The sequence below is a fragment of the Homo sapiens genome, chromosome 12 (assembly GCF_000001405.40).
Source record: "Homo sapiens chromosome 12, GRCh38.p14 Primary Assembly".
NCBI lineage: Eukaryota > Metazoa > Chordata > Mammalia > Primates > Hominidae > Homo > Homo sapiens.
Window position 1 is genome coordinate 8,743,788 of NC_000012.12, and position 24,162 is coordinate 8,767,949.

Here is a 24,162-nt window from a genome sequence, read left to right on the forward strand (position 1 = left end):
TAACTTATTAACCTTATTGTTACGTTAGCACTTTATTATACACTGATCCGAAACTTATATCTAAAATATTTGTACCAAAATCTTAATTTCAGTATTAAGTCAACAAGCTAGATGAAAAATTTTATAAGTTGGGGTTTAAGATGTTTATTAAAAAGACAATATGTGTTAGAGGAAATGGGGTTGAAAACAAAGCACATTCAGTTGGAATACATGTTTTTACAATGAGAGTGGAATCGTGGGTAAAGTTCTTTGAACAATTATGTGCATCTGTTTACTAAATAACATGGGTCTAAGGGAAGAAACCATTCCTTTTATATCCATTTATAAGCTCTACGTCAAAGGCATGAGTGATATTTGGTGAGTGCTCAAGAGATCAGTAGCTCATAAGGCAGAGTCCTAAGAGATGCCACTTTGCCTTTTTGGCTCACATTCATCTTTCCAGCCTTGGATCACTTCTGTTTTCCTAGAATAACATCAGGTATTTGTTACAGGAGGCATTGAATTTCTTTCCATCCTCACTAATACCCCCATAGTACACTGTGCAGATCCAACTATACTTTGGGTAGAGCACTCCCATTTTCCGGTGGCAACAGATAGGCTGTTTATACTGGAGAGTGGAACAGTTTTTTGCTTTCTTTATCCCATTTTTAAAAAGGAGCAAAAGCTGTTTCCAGGTTAGCATAATGACAAGGTAATAATGGTTGAATTTTTTCTTGACAATTTACATTGTCTTTCTTCCTGATGACTCAAGCTTTTCTCAAAATTTAATCTTCTTGTTTTGTTTCTTTCATTTAATGGTTTTGATTGTTCTCTCCTGATTTTCTTATTTTTTATAATACTATTTAATAATTATAGATTTTGCTAGTTTTTTAAACTTTATTTATTTATTTTGAGATGGAGTCTCGCTCTGTTGCTTAGGCTGGAGTGGAGTGGCACAGTCTCTGCTCACTTCAACCTCTGCCTCCTAGGTTCAAGTGTACCTCCTGCCTCAGCCTCCCAAGTAGCTAGGATTACAGGTGTGTGCCACCATGTCTAATTTTTGCATTTTTTAAAATTCTTTCTTTTTTTATTATTGTACTTTAAGTTCTAGGGTACATGTGTACAACGTGCAGGTTTGTTACATAGGTATACGTGTGCCATGTTGGTTTGCTGCACCCATCAACTGGTCATTTACATTAGGTGTTTCTCCTAATGCTATCCCTCCCCCAGCCCCTCACCTGCCAACGGGCCCGGTGTGTGATGTTCCCCACCCTGTGTCTGTGTGTTCTCATTGTTCAACTCCCACCTGTGAGTGAGAACATGCAGTGTTTGGTTTTCTGTCCTTGTGAAATTTTTGTGTTTTTAGTAGAGACGGGTTTTGCCATGTTGGCCAACTGGTCTTGAACTCCTGACCTCAAGTGATTTGCCCACCTCAGCTTCCTAAAGTACTGGGATTACAGGCGTGAGCCACTGTGGCTGGCCTTGCTGGTTTGTTTTTTTAACTGATTTTTTTCCTTTAAGTTTTACTTTCTTCTCCTGGCTCTTATTGAGGTCCTAGGTGTCCCTTTTTTACTTTCATATTTTCAACTTATATATTCCTATTTCTTTAGCTGTTCTCAGGCTGATTCCCGTAAATTTTTTTTTTGAGATGGTGTTTCACTCTTGTTGCCCAGGCTGGAATGCAATGGCAGGATCTTGGCTCACCGCAACCTCCGCCTCCCTGGTTCAAGCAGTTCTTCTACCTCAGCTTCCCAAGTAGCTGGGATTTTATGCATGAGCCACCATGCCTGGCTAATTTTGTATTTTTAGTAAAGATGGGGTTTCTCCATGTTGGTCAGGCTGGTCTTGAACTCCTGACCTCAGGTAATCCACCCTCCTCAGCCTCCCAAAGTGCTAGGATTACAGGCGTGAGCCACTGCACCCAGCCTTTTTTTTTTTTTTTTTTAAACACAGAAGTTCACTCTGTCGCCGAGGCTGGAGTGCAGTGGCTGGATCTCAGCTCAGTGCAACCTCTGCCTCGTAGGTACAAGTGATTCTCCTGCCTCCGCCTCTCAAGTAGCTGGGATTACAGGCGCCTGCCACCATGCCTGGCTAATTGTTCTATTTTTAGTACAGACAGGGTTTCACCATGTTGGCCAGACTGGTTTTGAACTCCTGACCTCAGGTGATCCACCCACCTCGGCTTCCTAAAGTGCTGGGATTACAGGCGTGAGCCACTGAGCCTGACCCCATAAATTAATATTTAAACATAAATACACAGTTTTCACTCCACCAGTATGACTGTATACATATATGTATAGTTCCAGTCTACATTTCAAGTACAGTAATTCTACTTTAAAATCCTTATGTCATTACCAACGTCTTTCCTATCTAGATCCAAATCCAACATCTTCTGCCCCAAACCAGCTTCCCTTCTTAACATTCCCATTCTCTATATCCTTATCTCAAAATTTTTCATCCTCAAACTGGCGCCGAGGTTTTTTTCAATTTTTAGAATGCTCTTTAGATTTGCTTATCTAGGCAAGTCACTGCTAACGCCTAAGAAATGATATCAAGGGCCGGGAGCTCATGCCTGTAATCCCAGCACTTTGGGAGGCTGAGGTGTGCAGATCACCTGAGGTCAGGAGTTTGAGACCAGCCTGGCCAACATGGTGAAACCCCATCTCTAAAAAATACAAACAAGTAGCCGGGCGCGGTGGTGCATGCCTGTGGTCCCAGCTACTTAGGAGGCTGAGGCAGGAGAATTGCTTGAACCCAGGAGGCAGAGGTTGCAGTGAGCCAAGATAGTGCCACTGCACTCCAGCCTGGGCGACAGAGTTGAGACTCTGTCTCAAAAAAAAAAAAAAAAAAGAAAAAGATATCAAGATGCTCGTAACAAATGATTGTGAGGAGAATGGTGTTAGCCACAGGCAAACCTCACATCTGCTGATGACCACATACCTACCCATGGGTGCTCCTGGAGAATAATTTCTACTTTTTTCACCTTCAAAAAACTTTTTTTTTCCCTTTTAGGGTCAGGGTCTTTGTCCTCCAGGTTGATCATAGGTCACTGCAGTCTTAAACTCCTGGGCTCAAATTATCCTCCTACCTCAGCCTTCTGAGTAACTAGGGCTACAGACACACACAACCACACCTGGCTAATTTTTTAAGTTTTTTTGTAGAGACGTGGATCTCATGTTGCCTAGGCTAGTTTCGAATTCCTAATCTCAAGCAATCCTTTTCCCTCTGCTTCCCAAAGTGCTGGGATTACAGAGTAAGCCACCAGGCCTGGCCAAAATTTTGTATAATTGTCATCTTGGTGGTGGATTCTCAAGATGGAATGAGGAGTATATGGAAAATGCTTCTGGTCCCTACTATACGTACAGGGGAAGAATTGAAAGATGGGATGGCATGGACTATCAGCAGGCAATATCCAGCACAGACTCTCAGTTCTCCTAATCAGAACAGATATAAATTCTTTAGTTCAGAACATACGGCTTTGCATATTTGACACTTTACCTGACCAACCATATCTTTTACTGTACATCAATACCATCAATACAAATCGCAGAGAGACACGCATATTGTTAACATTTTTGCCCCGTGATTTATGCTCTGCCTTACATTTGAATTGTCCTTTCTCTCTTTTTTTTAAACACACACACCCCCGGCTCATGGTTTATGCCTTAATTTTGCCATTAGTTCTACCTCCCTGATTTTTCTTCCATCAGAACTATTACCATGTTTAAAAGTTAATACCATAAAAATTAATATACTGTCTGTCTCCCACTAGAAAGCTTCTTGAGAGCAAGGACCTTATTTTATTTATTAATCTATTTTGACCATATAGAAAAGAATCTGACACATAGTACTTAATATTTACTGGATGAATATCAATTATTAGTAAGGAATTGATCATATGGTGTATCTATAAAATGTAATTCCATTCAGCCCACCTAAAGTAATGAAATAAAGCTATATATACTCTGATACAGAAAGATGTCTCTGGTACAATTTTTTTTTTTTTTGAGACAGAGTCTCACTCTATTGTCCAGGCTGGAGTGCAGTGGCACAATCTCAGTTTACTGCAACCTCCGCCTCCCGAGTTGAAGCGATTCTCCAGCCTTAGCCTCCCGAGTAGCTGAGATTACAGGCATGCACCACCACACCTGGCTAATTTTTGTATTTTTAGTAGAGATGGGGTTTCACCATGTTGGCCAGGCTGGTCTCAAACTCCCAACCTCAGGTGATTCACCCGCCTCTGCCTCCCAAAGTGCTGGGATTACAGGTGTGAGCCACCACCCAGCCAATAACTTTAAGTGATTATATATCTATATATGTTTCTGTATACTTAGATGACAGTAGGGAAAATACATACTAATAACCTTAAGTACCTAGAATGTTGTATGGAAGGTGAATATGTTCTGTATTTTTGTGTTTGAATGTTTTAAACAACTATAGTAGTCTTCCCTAGCCACAGTTTTGCTTCCCATGGTTTTGCATTCTGCAGTTTTCAGTTACCCATGGTACAGTACAATAAGATTTTGAGAGAAAAGGACATTTACATAACTCTTATTACAGTAATTGTTATAATTGTCCAGTTTTACTAGTTATTATTTCTTACTATGCCTAATTTATAAATTAAACTTTATCACAGGTATGTGTGTATAGGAAAAAAAACAGTATATATAGTTCTTACAGTTTAGGCTTTCCACAGTTCCAAGCATCCATTGAGGGTTTTGAAACGTCCCCCACAGACAAGGTGGGATTATTCGTGTGTGTGTGTGTGTGTGTGTGTGTGTGTGTGTGTGTGCATATATATATATACACAAAATTTATATTCATACACAATTTATATATTTTTTATATATATATAATTTTTTTTTTAATGAAAATAGGGTTTAAGAAGAAACTCGGGGCGGCCGTGGTGGCTCATGCCTGTAAGCATTTTGGGAGGCCGAGGCAGGCAGATCACAATGTCAGAAGTTTAAGACCATCCTGGCCAACATGGTAAAACTCCATCTCTACTAAAAATACAAAAAAATTTGCCAGGCATGGTGGCGGACGCCTGTAGTCCCAGCCACTCTGGAGGCTGAGGCAGGAGAATTGCTTGAACCCAGGAAGCAGAGGTTGCAGTGAGCTGAGACCATGCCACTGCACTCCAGCCTGGGTGACAGTGAGCCTTTGTCTCAAAAAAAGAAGCAACTCATATAAATACCTTGTTTGTGTATTATTTGGGGTCTTCCTAAATAGAATGGTATTGGATAAATGTTCAAGAAACATTTATTTTAAAAAATTATTTTCTTTTTTCATTATAGAGGCATATGTTCTCACTTTTTAAAAAACATACAAAACATAATATAGATTGAGAATTGCATAGGGCACAATATTAAACTTTTCTCTTCAACCTTTTTCCTGTCTTGACACCCAGTCATATTCAGAGGAAGCCAGTTTAAATTGTTAAACCACTTAGATTTTTTTTTTTTTTTTGAGTCTCTCTGTGTCACCAGGCTGGAGTGCAGTGGCACTATCTCTGGTCACTGCAACCTCCACCTGCCTGGTTCAAGTGATTCTCCTGCCTCAGCCTCCCGAGTAGCTGGGATTAGAGGTGCCTGCCACCACACCCAGTTAGTTTTTGTATTTTTAGTAGAGTTGGGGTTTCACCATGTTGGCCAGGATGGCCTTGATCTCTTGACCTCGTGATCCACCCACCTTGGCATCCCAAAGTGTTGGGATTACGGCATGAGCCACTGCACCCGGCCCACTTAGGTATTTTTTATGTGTATGCACAAATAAAACTTTTTCTCAGATTTGCCCTTTAAAATAAAAACTCAGCATTATGTATCTGGGCATTTGTTCATCTCTGAACATATATGTTTATGACATTCTTTTTAATGGCTATGTGGTAATTCATTGTAGTGATGTGTACTATAATTTCTTTAATCAGAGATTTTTCTAATTAAATTTTCTTTTTTCTTAGGAGTATCTCTATCCCAATTTAATATTAACAAAATAGTACATTTCATTTTGTGATCCAAACTTTGGCGTATTACTATTCCTCTATTTTGTTGTATATTTCCCTCTAATTGTGTTGGTCTTGTATTTATATATTTCAGGTCTGCGGATCAATGGAGAGCTAATCACTGCCTACCCACAAGTGGTGGTAGTCAGAGTACCAACCCCTTGGGTGCAAAGTGATAGTGACATCACTGTTTTGCGCCATCTAGAGAAGATGGGATGTCGGTTAATGAACCGACCTCAAGCCATCCTGAACTGCGTTAATAAGTTCTGGACATTTCAAGAGTTGGCTGGCCATGGTGTTCCTCTGCCGGATACTTTCTCTTATGGTGAGCCTACTAAAGAGCATACATAGCCTGAATATTAACCACTGATAGTTTTAATAGGATAAATTTACAGACATGAAAGAACACCTTATAGAAGTGTCTTTCAGTTTTAACACACTGGACAGGATAATTATAAATTATATCTTAAGATTTGTTTCATATTATGGGGGAAAATAGGGTTAGAAAACTTTTTCTGTAAAGGGCAAGATTGTAAGTATTTTAGGTTTTATAAGCCATTAAGTTCTCTGGTAACCCTCCGTAATGCTGTTGTAGCATGAAAGCTGTTATAGACAATGCTTAAACAAATGAGTAGCTTTGTTCCGATGAAACTTTATTATTATAAAAACAGCTGATAGGTCAAATTTGACCCACAGGCCTTAGTTTGCCAACCTCTGTGGTAAAAGATAATTCTAATTTTATGACATTAGTTTTTCATTTTCTTCATTACCATTTTGATAACTCAAATATTTTAATGTTTTTAAAGAAAGTAACACTTTAGTAGGTGTAGCAATGCTTTCGAACTTCTGGTAAAAGGGTTTTTTTTTTTAAAAGATCAATCTGTGGTAGATTAATACTCATGTAAAATATAATAAAATGATCACAGCAGTGCCAGATTGCTATAAAAGCTTCTGCTGCCTACCCTTTTTGTATTTATCTGACCACATAACAGTAGTGAACAAGTCCTATCCAGGCATAGGTTACAGGACCACATTCTGAGTAGCACTGCTTTAAACAATATTTTGCTAATGTATTTCCTGCCTTTAATTTTCTTGTTTGGAAAAGATCAAACTTAAATCAGAGTTTTCCATAAAGGTATTTCTCCAAATAAATATCCAGTAGAGTGCTTGGAGATTTCATGAGGCTTTACAAAGGAACCCTTGTCCTCTCCTTATTGTTAATATTTTAAAAAAAAGGAACTCTTCCCCCTCAACCCCCACCAAGCCTGTATGGCATGTGTGGACGCAGTTTCTGTTTTTAGCAATTGCATAAGAAGAGACAGAATTAATATAAGTTGAGAATTCTGTGTTTTTAGTGCTTTGGGGATATTAATAGTTTATAACATGATTGTACAATTTTGATTTTATGAGAATGGAAAGAAGGAAAAAAAGGTTAACCAAATTAACAAGTATTACCTTTGTTCTATTGATGAAGGATTAAAATTTGGTGACCAAGTCATAATTTTGCAACGCTACACATTTCTCGTATTTCACTTGTTTAATGGACTTTTTCCTGTCTCAGCTTTTCTCTCTAATCATGCTGATTTTTGTAGCTACAGTCTATTTTTGCTCTAACCTTGTTATTGTATCATTTGTTTTTGGGCAATAAAAAGAATAAGAAAGGAGACTTAACCCAGGATGCTTAGTTACCCTAGTGTAGAAAGAACTCTGATTAGTAATGGAGATAAGAAAAATTGGTGTGTGTGTGTTTGTTGATAATAAAAAGAGAATGTGTCAGTGTGTGCAGCATCTCTTCAACCTTGGATAGATCTTAACCAACTCATTCTTCAGTTCCTTAATCCAAGCAGGGAATTGAATATATTAAAGTAAATCTTGGGGCTTCTGTTATTTGTGTGGGAGAATAATAAGGATAAAAACATGAGAAATGGCATAGAATTAGGAAACTCTTTAGCTGAAAGATACTTAAGTTAGATATCAGAATATGTATAGATTAAGGGAGCTATTATTTGTTTTAAACTGATATTCTGTTATATTTTCAACTTACACATACTTTCTCCAAGAAAAAAAGTTAGCCATCAGGCTCTTACCTTCAACTTCCTTGTGCTGTTGGTTGTCTTTAGCGTTGATAAAATTGATCACAAAATACTTCTGCTGCTGTTTGTCTTAAATTTTTGTATTGCTCAAACCAGGTGGCCACGAAAATTTTGCTAAAATGATTGATGAGGCTGAAGTTCTGGAGTTCCCAATGGTAGTAAAGAATACGCGGGGTCACAGAGGTATGTATGAGTTGTTGGTAAGGTATATAGTTTTGAAACTATTCTTGCTTATTAATATGGAGTGACTTTGAAGAATAGTTAGAGGGAAATTGTTAGATGCATGATACCTCAGACTTACAGAAGGCTACTATGAGTTGTTCAGTTTGGCTAAAAGCTATTTGTTTAGTGGTTACCTAGAGATTTTAACATACATACTTAGACTGAGTCTCAAGTTAATGTCTGTATCTTCCTCAATAATGTAAAGACCGCCCGTAATCCCAGCACTTTGGGAGGCTAAGGCAGGCGGATCGCCTGAGGTCAGGAGTTCAAGACCAGCTGGCCAATGTGGTGAAACCTCGCCTCAACTAAAAATACAAAAATTAGCCAGATGTGGTGGCATACGCCTGTAATCCCAACTACTCGGGAGGCTGAGGGAAGAGAATTGCTTGAACCCGGGAGGCGGAGGTTGCAGTGAGCCGAGATCACACCACTGCACTCCAACCTGGTCGATAGAGCCAGACTGTGTCTAAAAAAGGGCAAAGAAACAATAAGACCTTAGATCACTAACTCCAGTCATTGCCCTCTAAAGATATATAGTTTGAAGACTTAAATGCGTAAGGTAAAACTATAACACTTTACAAGATGGCATATGAAAATATCTTAATGACTTTGAATTAAGGTAGTTTAGGTAGGTTGTTGTTGTTGTTGTTATTGTTTGTTTTTTGTTTTTTTTTTGAGATGGAGTTTTGCTCTTGTTGCCCAGGCTGGAGTGCAGTGGCGTGATTTCAGCTCACTGCAACCTCTGTCTCCCAGATTCAAGCGATTCTCCTGCCTCAGCCTCCCAAGTAGCTGGAATTACAGGCATCTGCCACCACGCCCAGCTACTTTGTTTTTTCTATTTTTAGTAGAGACGGGGTTTCACCATGTTGGCCAGGCTGGTCTCGAACTCCTGACTTCTGGTGATCCACCTGCCTCGGCCTCCCCAAGTGTTGGTATTACAGGTGTGAGCCACTGCGCCCAGCCTAAGGTAGGATTTTAAGGCATAAAATGATATATCAGTCTGAGTACAGTGACATATTTTGTGTTTCGGCAGGGATGGCTGGATCAGAGTTCAACTGGAACTATTGACTGGATTCTTTATATTTGGCTTCTCCAGTAGAGCAGCCAAGAGTCTCAGGCCTCCTGCAGTGAATGCTAAAGTGAACAAAGAATCTGTATGACCTTTTATGGTCTACCCTCATAAGTCATAATAGAATTACTTCTGCTATATTCTCTTGTTTGGAGCAATCACAAGCCCTCCTAGATTCAGCCAGAAGTGACATAGATTCAGTATCCCTCCTTTCCCCTCCCCACCATGGGAAGAATTTAGAACCATATATCAAAAACAGCCACTTCCGTTGGCACAGAAATAGACAAATAGAGCAGTGGAACAGGCTAGAGAATTCAGAAATAAATTGAGGTAACATACTGCTATATTACTATATCCTAATATCGTATATTAATGTATTCTATAATAATATATCACACATGTTTTAATTCAGAGATAAAAAGATTTGCTAGTGAATAAGGTTTCATTATTGGCTAACCTGGGGAGAAGTACAAATCTAGACCCCTGCCTCAGCATATATCAAAATAAATTTTAGTTTGTCATGAAAGAGTTTAGGGAGTAGTAAAAGGAGACTATTTACCTTGTCTTTATATATTTTTGTATTATTTCACTGTTAAAACAGTTCTAACAAAGAAAACTTAAAAAAAAAATGTAGTTGGTTCTGAAATAGCAGATTGTGATACAAGAAGATTCAGATAATAGGTATCATCTGCCCACAATTGATGACTTAACATGTATTTTTATTCTTTTCAATCATAGGTAAAGCTGTTTTCTTGGCTCGAGATAAGCACCATTTGGCTGATCTAAGCCATCTTATTCGCCATGAAGCGCCATACCTGTTCCAGAAGTATGTTAAAGAGTCTCATGGACGGGATGTACGTGTCATTGTCGTGGGAGGCCGTGTGGTTGGCACCATGTTACGTTGTTCAACAGATGGGAGAATGCAAAGCAACTGCTCATTAGGTAAAAATAATGCAATTATCTTTCTAGTATATAAAGTAACATTTATAATTGTCCAGTGAGTATTCATATGTATGTAACTCTAGACCTTCTTAATAAGTTGAAAAACGTATTTCCTTTTACATGTAAATATGATTTTTACACATGCCATCAATGTAATTAAACTCTTGAGTTATTTTTCTAGTAATATAATTCTGTTTCACTGAATCATATTAAATCTGCCTTCACCCGTTCTCAATTTGTAACCCAATTTACACATGTATTGGTTATCTGACAAAAGTTAAGAGATTCCCTCTTTGGTGATGTACTTATTTTGTATATAATTGGAGTTCCTATAAGATGTCATAACCCATTTTACCCATTGGTCCAAACAAGATTGCTGATTTTGATTTTCTTAAATATGTATTTTCTCAGATCTCTTATTGTTAGGTACATCAGAGCTTAGGCTTTGGGTTTTTATCCTCCTCTTCTCTGTTTATATCACTTCCTTAGTAATCTTGTACAGCTCATGACTTTAAATACCATTTGTATGTTTATTATTTCCAAATTTCTATCTCCAATTTAGGCTTTTTTCCCTGCTCCACCTCCAGGTTTATATAAGGAATTGCTTACTCAGTATCTCCAAAACTGAACTCCTTACAATGTGTTCTACCTGTAGTTATCTCCTTATCATTTTATTCTTATATATGTATATATGTATGTATGTATGAGTGAGTGAATGATGGGGTCTTGTCTGTCTCCCAGGCTGGAGTGCAGTGGCAGGATCACAGCTCACTGCAGCCTCAACCTCCCAGGCTCAAGCGATCCTCCTGCTTCAGCCTCCTAAGTAGCCGAGACCACAGGCACATGCCACCATGCCCGTCTAATTATTTTATTTTTTGAAACGAGCCTCACTCTGTCACCCAGGCTGGAATGCAGTGGTGCAATCTCAGCTCACTGCAACCTCCACCTCATGAGTTCAAGTGATTCTCCTGCCTTAGCCTCCTGAGTAGCTGGGACTACAGGCACCTGCTACCATGCCCAGCTAATTTTTTTATTTTTAGTAAAGACGGAGTTTCACCATGTTGACCAGGCTGGTCTCAAACCTCTGACCTAGGTGATATGCCTGCCTCGGCCTCCCAGAATGCTGGGATTACAGGCATGAGCCACCACACCCAGCGCCGGGCTAATTTTTTACATTTTTTTTTTTTTGTAGAGATAGGGTCTCCCTATGTTGCTCAGGCTGGTTTCAAACTCCTGGGCTCAAGTAATCCTCCTTCATTGGCCTTCTAAACTTGTGGGATTATAGATGAGAGCCACCACATCCAGCCTCTCTCTATTGGTTAATGACAGCTCTGTTTTTCTGATTTAGACCCAAATCCTTAGAGGCATCCTGGTCCCTCTCTTTTCTTATACCTCATATTCAAATTGTCAGGAACCCCTTGAAATCTCTACTCAGAATGTTTCCAAATCTGACCATTTTTTACCATCTGCACTCCTAATACCACCTTCTCTTATTTGGATTACCTACAGTAGCCCCTTAAGGGGTCTTCTTGCTTCTACCCTTCCCTCCTAATCTCTTCCTAACACCGCAGTGATATGACGGATGCTTTTACATTGCAAGTCAAATCAGCCTTTGCTCAAAATCCTCCGATAGGGCCGGGCACAATGGCTCACACTGGTAATCCCAACACTTGGGGAGGCTGAGGCAGGAAGATCATCCTGACCTCAAGGTTCAAAACCAGCCTGGGCAATCGAGGGAGAGACCCTGTCTCTACAAAATATAAAAATAAATTAGCTGGGGCCAAGCTTGGTGGCCCAAACCTGTAATTCCAGCACTTTCGTAGGCCAAGGTCGATGGATCACTTGAGGCCAGGAGTTCAAGACTAGCCTGGCTAACATGGTGAAACCCCATCTCTACTAAAAATATAAAGTTGGCCAGGTGCAGTGGCACATTCCTGTTTAGTCCCGGCTACTCTGGAGGCTGAGGCATGAGAATCTCTTGAACCAGGAGACAGAGGTTGCAGTGAGTCAAGATTGCACCACTGCACTCCAGCCTGGGCAACAGAGTGAGACTCTGCCTCAAAAAAAAAAAAAAAAAATTAGCTGGGCATCATGGCATGCACCTGTGGTCCCAGCTGCTCAGGAAGCTAAGGCAGAAAGATTGCTTGAGCCTGGGCGGTCGAGGCTGCAGTGAACCATGATCGTACCACTGCACTCCAGCCTGTCTCAAAAACAAAAATAAAAAAAATTCCTCCAATAGCTCCCCAGTTTCATTCCCAGAAAAATTTTAAGTTCTTGCCCTGGCTACCAGGCCCCAGATTCCTACTTATCTCTCTGAGATCTATAATCACATGGATGAATCTCAGAAACATAATGTTCATTTAAAAAGGCAAGTCAAAGAAGAGAATACATGTATTGCATTTATATAAAATTTAAATATATGCAAAACTAAACAATGCAGTGTTGGGAATACAAACATTTAGTAAAACTAAAGAAAAGGCAATATATTGATAAGTATGAAATTCAATATGGTGGCTTATTCAGAATACATGATAGAGTAAGAACACAGTGAAGATTTGAAAGATATTGGTTATATTAATTTTACTTTCTACTTTTTTTTTTTTTTTTTTTTTTTTTCTGATGGAGTCTTGCTCTGCCACCCAGGCTGAAGTACGGTGGTGTGATCTCAGCTCACTGCAACCTCTGCCTCCCAGGTTCAAGCAATTCTCGTGCCTCAGCCTCCTGAGTAGCTGGGACTACAGGTGTGCACCCCAATGCTGGGCTAATTTTTGTATTTTTAGTAGAGATGGGGTTTCACCATGTTGACCAGGCTGGTCTTGAACTCCTGGCCTCAAGTGATCAGCCTCCCAAATTGCTGGAAGCCACCAGGTGTGAGCCACCGTGCCCAGCCTACTTCCTATTCTTGAAAAATGACTTCTGCCTCCTTGAATTAGCTCTTCATGTCTCATTTTAATTTTTCATTATAACACGTCCTGCTGACTAGCTAGAAGAGAGCTAAATGGCATCTTTTCTTTTATGAGTCACTTTTACTTTACTACATTGAGATTTAATTAATAGTTACTCTTCATAGTTCAGGCAAAAGGAACTTTAGAAAGTAACTTAGTTTTATATTAAGAAGTATACTTTTTTCATTAAGTTTGTTTTGAGGTCAGGTGCTGTGGCTCAGTCCTGTAGTCCCCCACCCAACACTTTGGGATGCCGAGGCAAGAGAATGGCTTGAGCCCTGAGGTTTGAGACCAGCCTGAACAATGTAGAGAGACCCCATCTCTATAAAAAATTAATTAATTAAATAAGCCAGACGTGGTGATTCACACCTCTGGTCCCAGCTACTTGGGAGGCTGCATTCTGGCCTAGGTGACACAGCAAGACCCTGTCTCAAAAAAAAAAAAAAAAAAAGTTGTTTTGAGATCATTGAGGCTTACAAAAAGGTATAAAGGATTCCTTTGCACCCATTAACCAGCTTTAGAAATAAGTTGTCAATATAGTTATCTGTTTACTCTCTCTGATCATTTTCTTCTCTCTTCCCCACATCCTGAACTTGGTATTTATCTTTCCTATAATGTACTTTTAGTTCTTCTGTCTGTATTCCTAAACTAGTTATTATTTTATGTTATAAAACTTCATCCTTAGATACATCGTCAAGAGTATTTCTGGGTTAGCCCATTCACCCAGAAGTGGGATTTCTGTGTTGTAGTGTATTACAATAACTTCAGCTCTACTAGATATTGCCAAATGATTCTCCAAAGTGAGCATACTACCTTAGAATTTCTCCTCATTGAATAGTTTCTTATAGTGCCAACTTCTTGCCAACCTGTAAGGTCGGTAGACATTAAACCTGCCAAAATAATGTGAACTTTTGTCTTTTTTTTTTTTTTCCTTTTTCTGGAGAATGGGGTCTCGCTATATTGCCCAGGCAGGTCTCGAACTCCTGGGCTCAAGCTATCCTCCTGCCTCTTGCCTCCCTGAGAGCTGGGATTACAGGCGTGAGCCACTGCGCCTGGCCTGTCATGTCATTATTTTAATTTATCTCTCACTGTTGAGATTATGCATCTGTTTGCTTTTTTTTAGTGCATATTCTGGTATCTCATCTATGAATTGCCTGTTCAGGTCCTTTGTGTCCTTTTTTAATCGAGATTTTTTTTTTCCTTTTTTGTATTGATCTGCAGGCTCTTTTTCTTTTTTTCCTTTATAAAAATACCTTATTTTTTATCGAGGTGAAGTCTTGCTATGTTACCCAGGCTAGTCTTGAACTCTTAGCCTCAAGTGATCCTCCCATCTCAGCCTCCCAGAGTCCAGTGATTACAGGTTTGAGCCACTGCACCTGACCAGATTTATCTAATCTGACTTCAAATTCTTCTGTCAGTTATATGAATTGTAAGTACAGTATTTTCATCCCAGTCTGTGGTATTTCTTCTTCTTTTTTTTGATTATAGATTTTGATGGACAAAAATTGTCCCTTTTAATGTCAAGCATATTCATCTATTTCTTTATATTCTCTACTATTTTTAAATTGAAGAAATTCTTCTCCACCCTTTGGTCATGTTCAGTTCTTGAATAGTCTTCTAAAAGCTTTTCCGTGTTTAGGACTTTAATCTACCTGAAATTGATTTTGCTGTTCAGCATCATGAAGGAGATCCTGTTTTCTTTTTTCGAAATGAATAACCGGTTGTCTGAACACTACTTATTGAATAGTCTGTTTATTACTACTTTGTAACGTGTTTAATTTCCATATGTGCATTGGTCTATTGCAAGGTCCCTTAGTCTATTGTATCGTGCTTTTTATGTATGAATACCAGTCTTTATTCTTTTGGTACTATGGGTAGATATCTGATAGAGCAAGAGCCTCTCTACCTTGTTTGCCAGAATTGAATTGCAATTTGTATTCAGTGTTTTACTATTGTGAGCAATAATACTATAAACATCCTGTGAATATGCTTTGCTTTATATACTGGTGCCTTTGTCTTGATAAGTCTCATCAAGGTTGGAATTGATGGAACAAAATACATATTTAAAAAAATGTATGGCCAGGCACAGTGGCTCATGCTGTAATCCCAGCACTTTGGGAGGCTGAGGTGGGAGGATCACTTGAGGTCAGGAGTTTGAGACCAAAGGGCAACATGGTGAAACCCCATCTCTACTAAAAATACAAAAATTAGCTGGGCATGGTGGCAGCCACCTGTAGTCCCAGCTACTCAGGAGGCTGAGACAGGAGAATCACTTGAACCTGGGAGGTAGAGGTTGCAGTGAGCCAAGGTCGTGTCACTGCACTTCAGCCTGGGCAACAGAGCAAGACTCCGTCTCTAAATAATCAATCAGATTACTTTTTAAAAAGCCCATAACTTTTTGCATTTCAACTTGCAATTTTTTTTCCAATCAGATGAGAATTAATTGCTATCTTATGGCTATTTTAATTTGTATTTTTCTCACCATGAACGATGAGAGAATCTTTTCATAGTTTATTTGGTCATTTGTATTTACTTGTGTATGTATTGCTCTTCATTATATTTGCTTAGTTTTAAATTGGGCAGTTTTGTCTTTTGCATAGCATTTCTGACCAACGACTACTAAATGCCAATATGTCCGCCCCAGATCTCAAACAAGCAGAAATGCCACCATACAATTTCCAGATTCTCCCCAGTTGAGAACCACTGCTTTAGAACCTCCAGTATAGTGTTAAGCAATAAGGATTGCAGTGATTTCTGTCTAGTTTCTGATTTCCACTGAAATAGGTTTAGTGTTTTGCTATTTAGGATACTATATTTAAGGAGATTGATTCTATTAGAGATTCTATTAGAGTGTTTAGGAGGGATGATTGTCAGATTTTATCCTGTGCCATCTTGGCATCTTTATTTTTTATTTATTTTTATTATACTTTAAGTTCTAGGGTACATGTGCACAACGTGCAGGTTTGTTACATATGCATACGTGTGCCATGTTGGTGTGCTGCACCCATTAACTCGTCATTTACATTAGGTATATCTCCTAATGCTATCCCTCCCCCTTCCCCTACCCCACAACAGGCCCCCGTGTGTGATGATCCCCTTCCTGTGTCCAAGTGTTCTCATTGTTCAATTCCCACCTATGAGTAAGAACATGCGGTGTTTGGTTTTTGTCCTTGCGATAGTTTGCTGAGAATGATGGTTTCCAGTTTCATCCATGTCCCTACAAAGGACATGAACTCATCCTTTTTTATGGCTACATAGTATTCCATGGTGTATATGTGCCACATTTTCTTAATCCAGTCTATCATTGATGGACATTTGGGTTGGTTCCAAGTCTTTGCTATTGTGAATAGTGCCACAATAAACATACGTGTACATGTGTCTTTATAGCAGCAGCATTTATAATCCTTTGGATACATACCCAGTAATGGGATGGCTGGGTCAAATGGTATTTCTAGTTATAGGTCCCTGAGGAATTGCCACACTGTCTTCCACAATGGTTGAACTACTTTACAGTCTCACCAACAGTGTAAAAGCATTCCTATTTCTCCACGTCCTCTCCAGCACCTGTTGTTTCCTGACTTTTTAATGATCGCCATTGTAACTGGTGTGAGATGGTATCTTATTGTGGTTATTGATTTGCATTTCTCTGATGGCCAGTGATGATGAGCATTTTTTCATGTGTATGTTGGCTGCATAAATGACTTCTTTTGAGAAGTGTCTGTTCATATCCTTCGCCCACTTGTTGATAGGGTTGTTTTTTTCTTGTAAATTTGTTTGAGTTCTTTGTAGATTCTGGATGTTAGCCCTTTGTCAGATGAGTAGATTGCAAAAATTTTCTCCCATTCTGTAGGTTGCCTGTTCACTCTGATGGTAGTTTCTTTTGCTGTGCCATCTTGGCATCTTTAATTTAGGACCAGAAAGGTTCACAGCTCAGTTTTATTTAGCTATCCTAATAAGGATCCTTAAGACCTTTAATTTCTTGGTGTGATGGATTATGTTGATATATTTTAGATTAAAAATAATTTTTCTGGCCGGGTGCAGTGGCTTATTCCTGTAATCCCAGCACTTTGGGAGGCCAGGGTGGGCCTTGAGCTCGGGAGTTTGAGAGCAGCCTGGGCAACATGGCTAAACTCTATCTCTACAAAAAATACAAAAATTAGCTTGGCATGCTGGCACATGCCTGTAAACCCGGTTAACTCAGGTGGTTGAGACGAGAGGGTGAGGGGGAGATAGCAAAAAAAAAAAAAAAAAAAGAATTTGTTTTTCCAAATTGCCCTTTGCATTTTAAAAATAAACCTTCTTTGGATAGCTTACTGTTCTTTCAAAAATTACCGAATTTGTTTTTTTCATATTTTATTTAGATCTTTTTTTGTTTCAGTTGCAAGATTTAATAGAGCGAAAACAGAGCTCCCATAAAATGGGAGGGGACCCAAAGGGGATTGTCGCTCCCTGCTCAAATGCCTGGGGTTTATATACCGATCATTGCCCCTCCCCCTGTGCTCTTCAGGCGATAATATGATTTGACTATTTCTTTACCGCCTGCTTTAGCCTAATTTGTCTTTTAGTGAGCCCTGTTTACTACCTGATTGGTCGGGTGTGAGCTGAGTTACAAGCCCTGTGTTTAAAGGTGAGTGCAGTCACCTCTCCCAGCTAGGCTTAGGAATTCTTAGTTGGCCTAGGAAATCCAGCTAGTCCTGTCTGTCAGTCCCCCCTCTCAACAGGAAAACCCAAGTGCTGTTGGGGAGGTTGGCTGACGACTGCTTTTAACTGCTTCCTGCTGAATTGGGGTATAGTAGGGGTCGTGCAGTCGAGATTTCCTCGGGAGGGGTGCCTTCGATGTCATTAACATCGGAGCATGGGCTAGCAGGCCGGTCCAGGGGTCTGCGGTAGATCTTAGTCATGGACTGCATCTGGGGCCCCATTTGAAGAACCATTTGTAGTTTTATAGCTTTGATTCTGGAAGAGACAAACTTAACAAGGAGGTTAAAGATACAGGAATTGAAATGTATGACCTGAAGTGCAGGGGCATATGGGTGTGGGTGGTGAAAGTGGGGTTTCCTTTAGAAAAACTACAATGGGGCGTCAATATTTCTGGGAAGCTGCATTCTCCATAGAAGCTCTTGGTAAAGGGAGCTACTGGTAGTACAGCGGCAAGGAGGAGGTGCAGCGAGAGTGAAAGGTTTGGTGAAGGGTTTTAAGTAACTACCATTGGTTGGCTGCAGGCAAAAGTATTTTTCCTTCTTTGGTGGCTAGCCATCCTGAGGGGAGGAAACTACATCCTCGTGAGGTTCCCCATTCTATTTCTTCTTCTGAGTACTGGGGCTTGGTTTCCCGGAGGGGATTACCCCATGCTAGGGTCCTTCTATAAGCATTTCTAATGGAGGGTCCTGCCTTGCGGCTCTTTTGGCTTCAGTGTCGTCTTGGTGGTTCCCTTCTACTTCCCTTTCCTTTTCTTTCTGATGACCCCGGCAGTTTAAGACTGCCACCTCTTTAGGTTTCTGTACAGCCAAGAATAATCTCCTAATGGCTTCCTGATGTTTGATAGGTGTTCCTTGGAAGTTAGGAATTCCCTTTCTCTCCATATTGCTGCGTGGTCATGGAGGACTAGGTAAGCATATTAGTGTCTGTATATATATTTACCCTTTTTCCTTCTAATTCTAGTGCCTGAATGAGGTCTGTTAGTTCTGCCAGCTGAGCGCTAGTTCCTGGAGTGAGGGGGTTACTTTGAAGTATTCCATTATCACTGAGCACTGCGTACCCTGCTTTTCGAAGTCCTTTTTCTACAAAGGAACTTCCATCAGTATACAAGTTGAGGTCGGGATCAGTCAAGGGAACCTCTAGAAGGTCCCCTTAAGCGGCGTAGGTGTGAGCAATCACCTGTTGACAGTTATGTTCTTTTTTTTATTGTCTGGAAGAAATGTGGCTGGATTAAGAGTTGCACAAGTGCACAGTTGCAGCACTGGCTCTTTAATAGAGCCTGATATTTAAGCAAATGGTTGTCTGACAGCCACAAGTCTCTTTTAGCAGTGAGTATGCTGTTTACATTATGAGATGTCCACACAGTAAGATCTCTTCCCTGTATTATTTTAACTGCTTCAGATCCTAAGACTGCTACTGCTGCCACTGCCCATAAACAATGAGGCTAACCCTTTGCCACTACATCAGTTTCCTTACTCAGGTATGCCACAGGTTGCAAGCTGGTCCCTCGGACCTGTGTAAGGACTCCTAGAGCTATTCCTGTTTTTTTTCTGTTACATGTAAAGAAAAGTCTTGGCCTGTTGGCAAGCTTAACACTGGGGCTTGGGTTAGGGCCTTCTTTAGGGCCTGGAAAGCCGCTTTTGCTTTAGGCGTACATCTGACTAAATGGGTATTGGCTTTCTGAGTTTCCTTAATTAGTGTATATAATGGCCTGGCTATTTCGCCATACCTGGGAATCCATATTCAGCAGAAGCCTGTTATGCCACGGAACCCTCTTAGTTGCTTTAGGGTTTTGGGATGAGGATAAGCCAATATAGGCTGGATACGTTCCTCGCTGAGCGCCTTGGTGCTTTTGGATAATTTTAGCCCTAAGTATTTAACCTGCTGTGAGCAGAGCTGAGCCTTTGGTTTGGAAACCTTGTAGCCACAAGTGGCGAGGAAGTTTAAAAGCGCTTGGGTGGCTTGATGACACAAGGTTTCTGAATGGGCGACTAAAAGTAAATTATCCACGTACCGAAGGACAAGAGTGTCCTTCAGTATGAGAACTGGCTCAAGTCTTGGGCTAATGCCTGGCCAAATAGATGGGGGCTATCCCTGAACCCTTGAGGTAAAACAGTCCAGGTGAGTTGAGACGTTGGGTTTGAAGGATCTTCAAAGGCAAACAAAAATTGACAGGATGTACAGGGATGCAGAAAAAGGCATCCTTAAGGTCCAGAACTGTAAACCACTCTGCTTCCTCTGGCATTTAGGAAAGCAGAGTATAAGGGTTAGGTATAGCTGGGTATAGAGGGACAACGGCCTCATTGATAATCCTGAGATCTTGCACTAACCTCCACTGTCCGTTGGGTTTCTGTACTCCTAAAATTGGAGTATTGTAGGGGCTACTGCATGATTTTACTAGGCCTTGGGCTTTAGGTCCTTAACAATCTTTTGGAGTCCTTGTTGGGCCTCGGGTCTAAGGGGGTACTTCCTTTGGCAGGGAAAGGAGGCGGAATCCTTTAACTTGAACGGGACAGGAATTCTTCGCTTGTCCATATTGTCCTTCTGTTCCCCAGACTTCAGGATTAATTCCTTCCTCAAGTAGGGGACAATAAACGGGTGTTCCTTGTCCTATATTCAGGTGTATAATGACCCTTGCTTTTGCTAGAATGTCTCTCCCTAACAAGGGAGTGGGGCTTTCAGGGATAATTAGAAAAGCATGTGAAAAGAGTAAAGTTCTCCAGTCACAACTTAGTGGCTGGGAGAAGTATCTAGTGACTGGCTGTCCTAGGACCTCTCGGATAGTGACAGATTTGGAGGACCGTTGTCCGGGACAGGAGAGTAAGACTGAGAAGGCTGCGCCAGTGTCCAGGAGACAGTTAACCTCCTGGCCCTCAATGGTCAAGCATACCCGGGGCTCTGTGAGGTCGATGGCATGGGCTGGCACTTGCCCCAGGCACCCTCAGTCCTGCTGCTGGATCATCTGGTTAGTGGCTTCTGACTCAGAGGACCTTCGTCCCCTGGGGCAGTGGGCCTTCCAGTGATTCCCTTTACATAAGGGGCATGGACGAGGGGGCGGCTTATTTCTATTTGGACAATCTTTTTTAAAGTGTCCTTGTAGACCACACTGGAAGCAAGCCCTATTAGGCGTTGGATTTGCCCAGCCTTTCTGTTCCAGAGCCTCCAAAGTCTGCTTGCCTGAGGGCCATGACTAAAGCAGTGGCCTTTTTCTTATCTCGTTTGCCCCATTCCACCTGCTCCTCCTGATTTCTATTATAAAAAACCGAGATTGCCAAGTTCAATAGGGTTTCTAAGTTTTGCTCAGGGCCTAAGGCACACTTCTGAAGTTTTTTTCTAATGTCTGCAGCTGACTGAGTGATAAACTTATCATTTAAGATTAGTTGGCCTTTAATAGCCAGGTGACAGGGAGGAATGCTTCCTCAGTGCTTCCCTTAGTCTCTCCAGAAGGGCAGTAGGATTTTCTTCCTTTCCCTGTGTTATAGTGGACATCATTGAATAATTTGTAGGCTTTTTCCTAGTTTTCCTTAGTCCTTCTAGCACGCAAGTTAGCAAATGTCTGTGGCACCAATCTCCATGTTCTGATTCTGTGTCCCAGTGAGGGTCTACACTGGGAACTGCCTGCTGGCCTTGGGGAATTGTTCTTTCCTCTGTTGTCATCCTATCATTGACCTGACTGAGATACCAGAGATCACCAAACTCTCGGGCTGCAGTTATGGCGGCCCTTCTCTCATTTGGTGTTAGTGTCTGATTTAGCAGTAACATTATATCTCTCCATGTCAGATCAAAGGATTGTCCTAACCCTTGTAAACCACCAATATAGCCATCAGGGTTATCTGATAATTTGCCCCGGTCTATTTTAATTTGCTTCAAGTCTGAGAGAGAAAAAGGTACATGCACTCTGACTGGGCCGAATTCTCCTCCTCGCACTGCTTGGAGGGGGCATAATCGGGAAATATTGGCACTCTTTGGTTCATTGTTTACCCCTTTGTCTATCTCCTTTTGGGTCCTTATTAGTTGGGGAAGAAGCTGGGGGGACACCGGGATAGGGAGGTAGACTCTGAGGGCTTCCTGTAGGGCATAAATCACACTTTTTACATAATTGTGACTTGTTTCTTAATGAAAAGAAAGTTTGTACATATGGCACTTCACTCCATTTGCCTCTTTTTTTATACAAAAGAGGTCTAGCTGTAAGATGTTATAATTTATACTTCCGTCGGGAGGCCAGGTTTCTCCCCCTTGATGAGGATATCGTGGCCAGGCAGTACTGCAGAAGAATATAAGTCATTTCTTTCTTAGCGTTTGAGGGTCAAATTGGTCCCAATTCTCCAAAGTACATCTTAGGAGATGTACTTTGCCTTGGGGGGAATGTTTCCCATCTGAAAAAAAGAACATAGGGATGCCAGCACCCCAAATCATTTTCTGATGAGCATTAGTCCTAGAGCGTCCTCTATGGTCTTAATGCTTATTCCTTTCCAGGGTGTGTAACCACCCATGGACTTCTGCTTATCGGATTAGTTACGCTCACTGATGTAGCAGTCCTGCACCTGTTTTCCCGCCTTTCTTGACCACAAAGAAAGGGGTCCGGCTGCTGGATTCTAGTGGTCCTTTACCAGCGTGCCCAACGTTGCCTTTGCACTCAGAGGTGAATTCTAGAGCTGGGCTGGGTTCCTGAGCATTTCATAACACCCCAGCTGCCCCATCAACATGCATTCCCATAAACAACAGTTCTTAGGCAAATTTGTTTCAGAGAGGGTGTAGGTAACCTTTTGAGTCGGGATTGAGATAGAGTCTTTTTGATTCTGTAAGTACTTTAAGGTTTGGCTGAGTGCAAACAGCTCGCAGGTTTGAGCAGACCAATTATTAGGCAATTTTCCTAACTCTGCTTCCACAAGATTCTCCCTATCAATTGCTGAATACCCACTGTGTTTTTTTCCTCAGTCACCGGGAGGAACCCTCTATCTCCTGTCCTGAAGGGAGTTCCTCCTAGGTCTGGTCAGACCTTTGTATGGTAATTAAGATTTAAATCCCCTGTTAGGAAATCTGCTAGGTTAAGGGAATTTTCAGTGGTTAATGTTAAATCACCTTTTTCTAACAGAATAGCCCCATACTTTAAGATTTGAGTTAGTAAGCTAACTTTTTGCTTTTTTGACTTAGGATAATTCTGAACTGGTGAGGTGCTCACAATGAGGTTTCCTCTAAAGATTATTTTTCTACTTTTAGCAATGCAGTTGCCGCTACCGACTGAATGCATTTGGCCCATCCATGGGTCACTGGGTGAAAGATTTTTGATAGGAAGGCTACGGAGTTGTCAGTGGTCTCAGTGTTTTCGGGCTACGCCCTTGTTTACCCTGACAACAAGGTAGTATTGGAGTGTTACAGGGTCACGGAGAAGACCTTCCATTATCAATTATAGGTTTTAAATTTACCCTGGCTTTTAAAGGAATAGGGCACACTGTTTTTCCTTTACTACTTCTATCTTTCTCTTTCTCTCTTTGGCCCCCTTTGTCTCTCTTTCTCTTTTCTCCTAGCCCTTTACAAACTTGGGGCCCTGGCAAGGGTGGTGGGGAACAGGTCCCACATAACTGCCCATGTCGAGAGCTGTATGCCTAAATTGGGAGAGACACCAGGGACAAGACTCTCTGGCTTCGTAGCCTAGGGGCCTAAGGACGCAGTGTAGAGCTTCCTTAGATCCCTTTGGAAATACAGCTTGCTAGAGGAAATGAAAGTCTGAATCATTAGTACCTAGGAGGCAGGGATCAGAGGAAGTAGATTCAGAGGTAAGGAGAATTTTGGGCTACACTTTCAAGAAAGTCGTGGTCGGGACCCAGAAGCTATGGGTCAGAAGGAAAAGTAGGGGTGTACGCATGGGCATCTGTTGAGTAGAGACTTCTGTCTGCGCCATGATCTCAACCGGCTAACACCAGGAGTTCGGGATGACAGCTTTCTGCTTCTAGTCGGCCCTCAGCTATCCCAGGAAAATTGAAAGCGGAAGCTGGTTCCAGGCAGACCAACGCTCCCAATCCAGAAGGTTTGGGTTTGTTAGAAAGCTCTTTCCCAGACAACCTCACACCTGAGTCTTAAGTCTGGCGGCCATGCTAATTATTTTTAACCAGCTGACAGGTGCCTGGTATTTTCCTCCAATTCTAAGGAAGGATAGGACAGAATAGCAAGCCAAAGTGGTTCAATATTATTCACTGCTTTGGAGGTCCCTTC

The 24,162-nt window shown here is 41.0% G+C and overlaps 1 protein-coding gene across 43 annotated transcripts in view; it reads left to right on the top strand.

The window, feature by feature from the left end:
• Positions 1-24,162, top strand: part of RIMKLB (ribosomal modification protein rimK like family member B) — a 114,454-nt gene that overhangs the window by 75,150 nt on the left and 15,142 nt on the right. For all 43 annotated transcript variants that reach the window (NR_123740.2, NR_147945.2, NR_147946.2 and 40 more), the window contains 3 exons: positions 6,075-6,305; positions 8,170-8,256; positions 10,103-10,306. Coding sequence is in view for 36 of the 43 variants with exons in the window: in XM_047429188.1 (XP_047285144.1) it covers positions 6,075-6,305; positions 8,170-8,256; positions 10,103-10,306 (522 nt within the window). In the remaining 7 variants the exon portion in view is untranslated. The remainder of the gene's footprint in view (positions 1-6,074; positions 6,306-8,169; positions 8,257-10,102; positions 10,307-24,162) is intronic.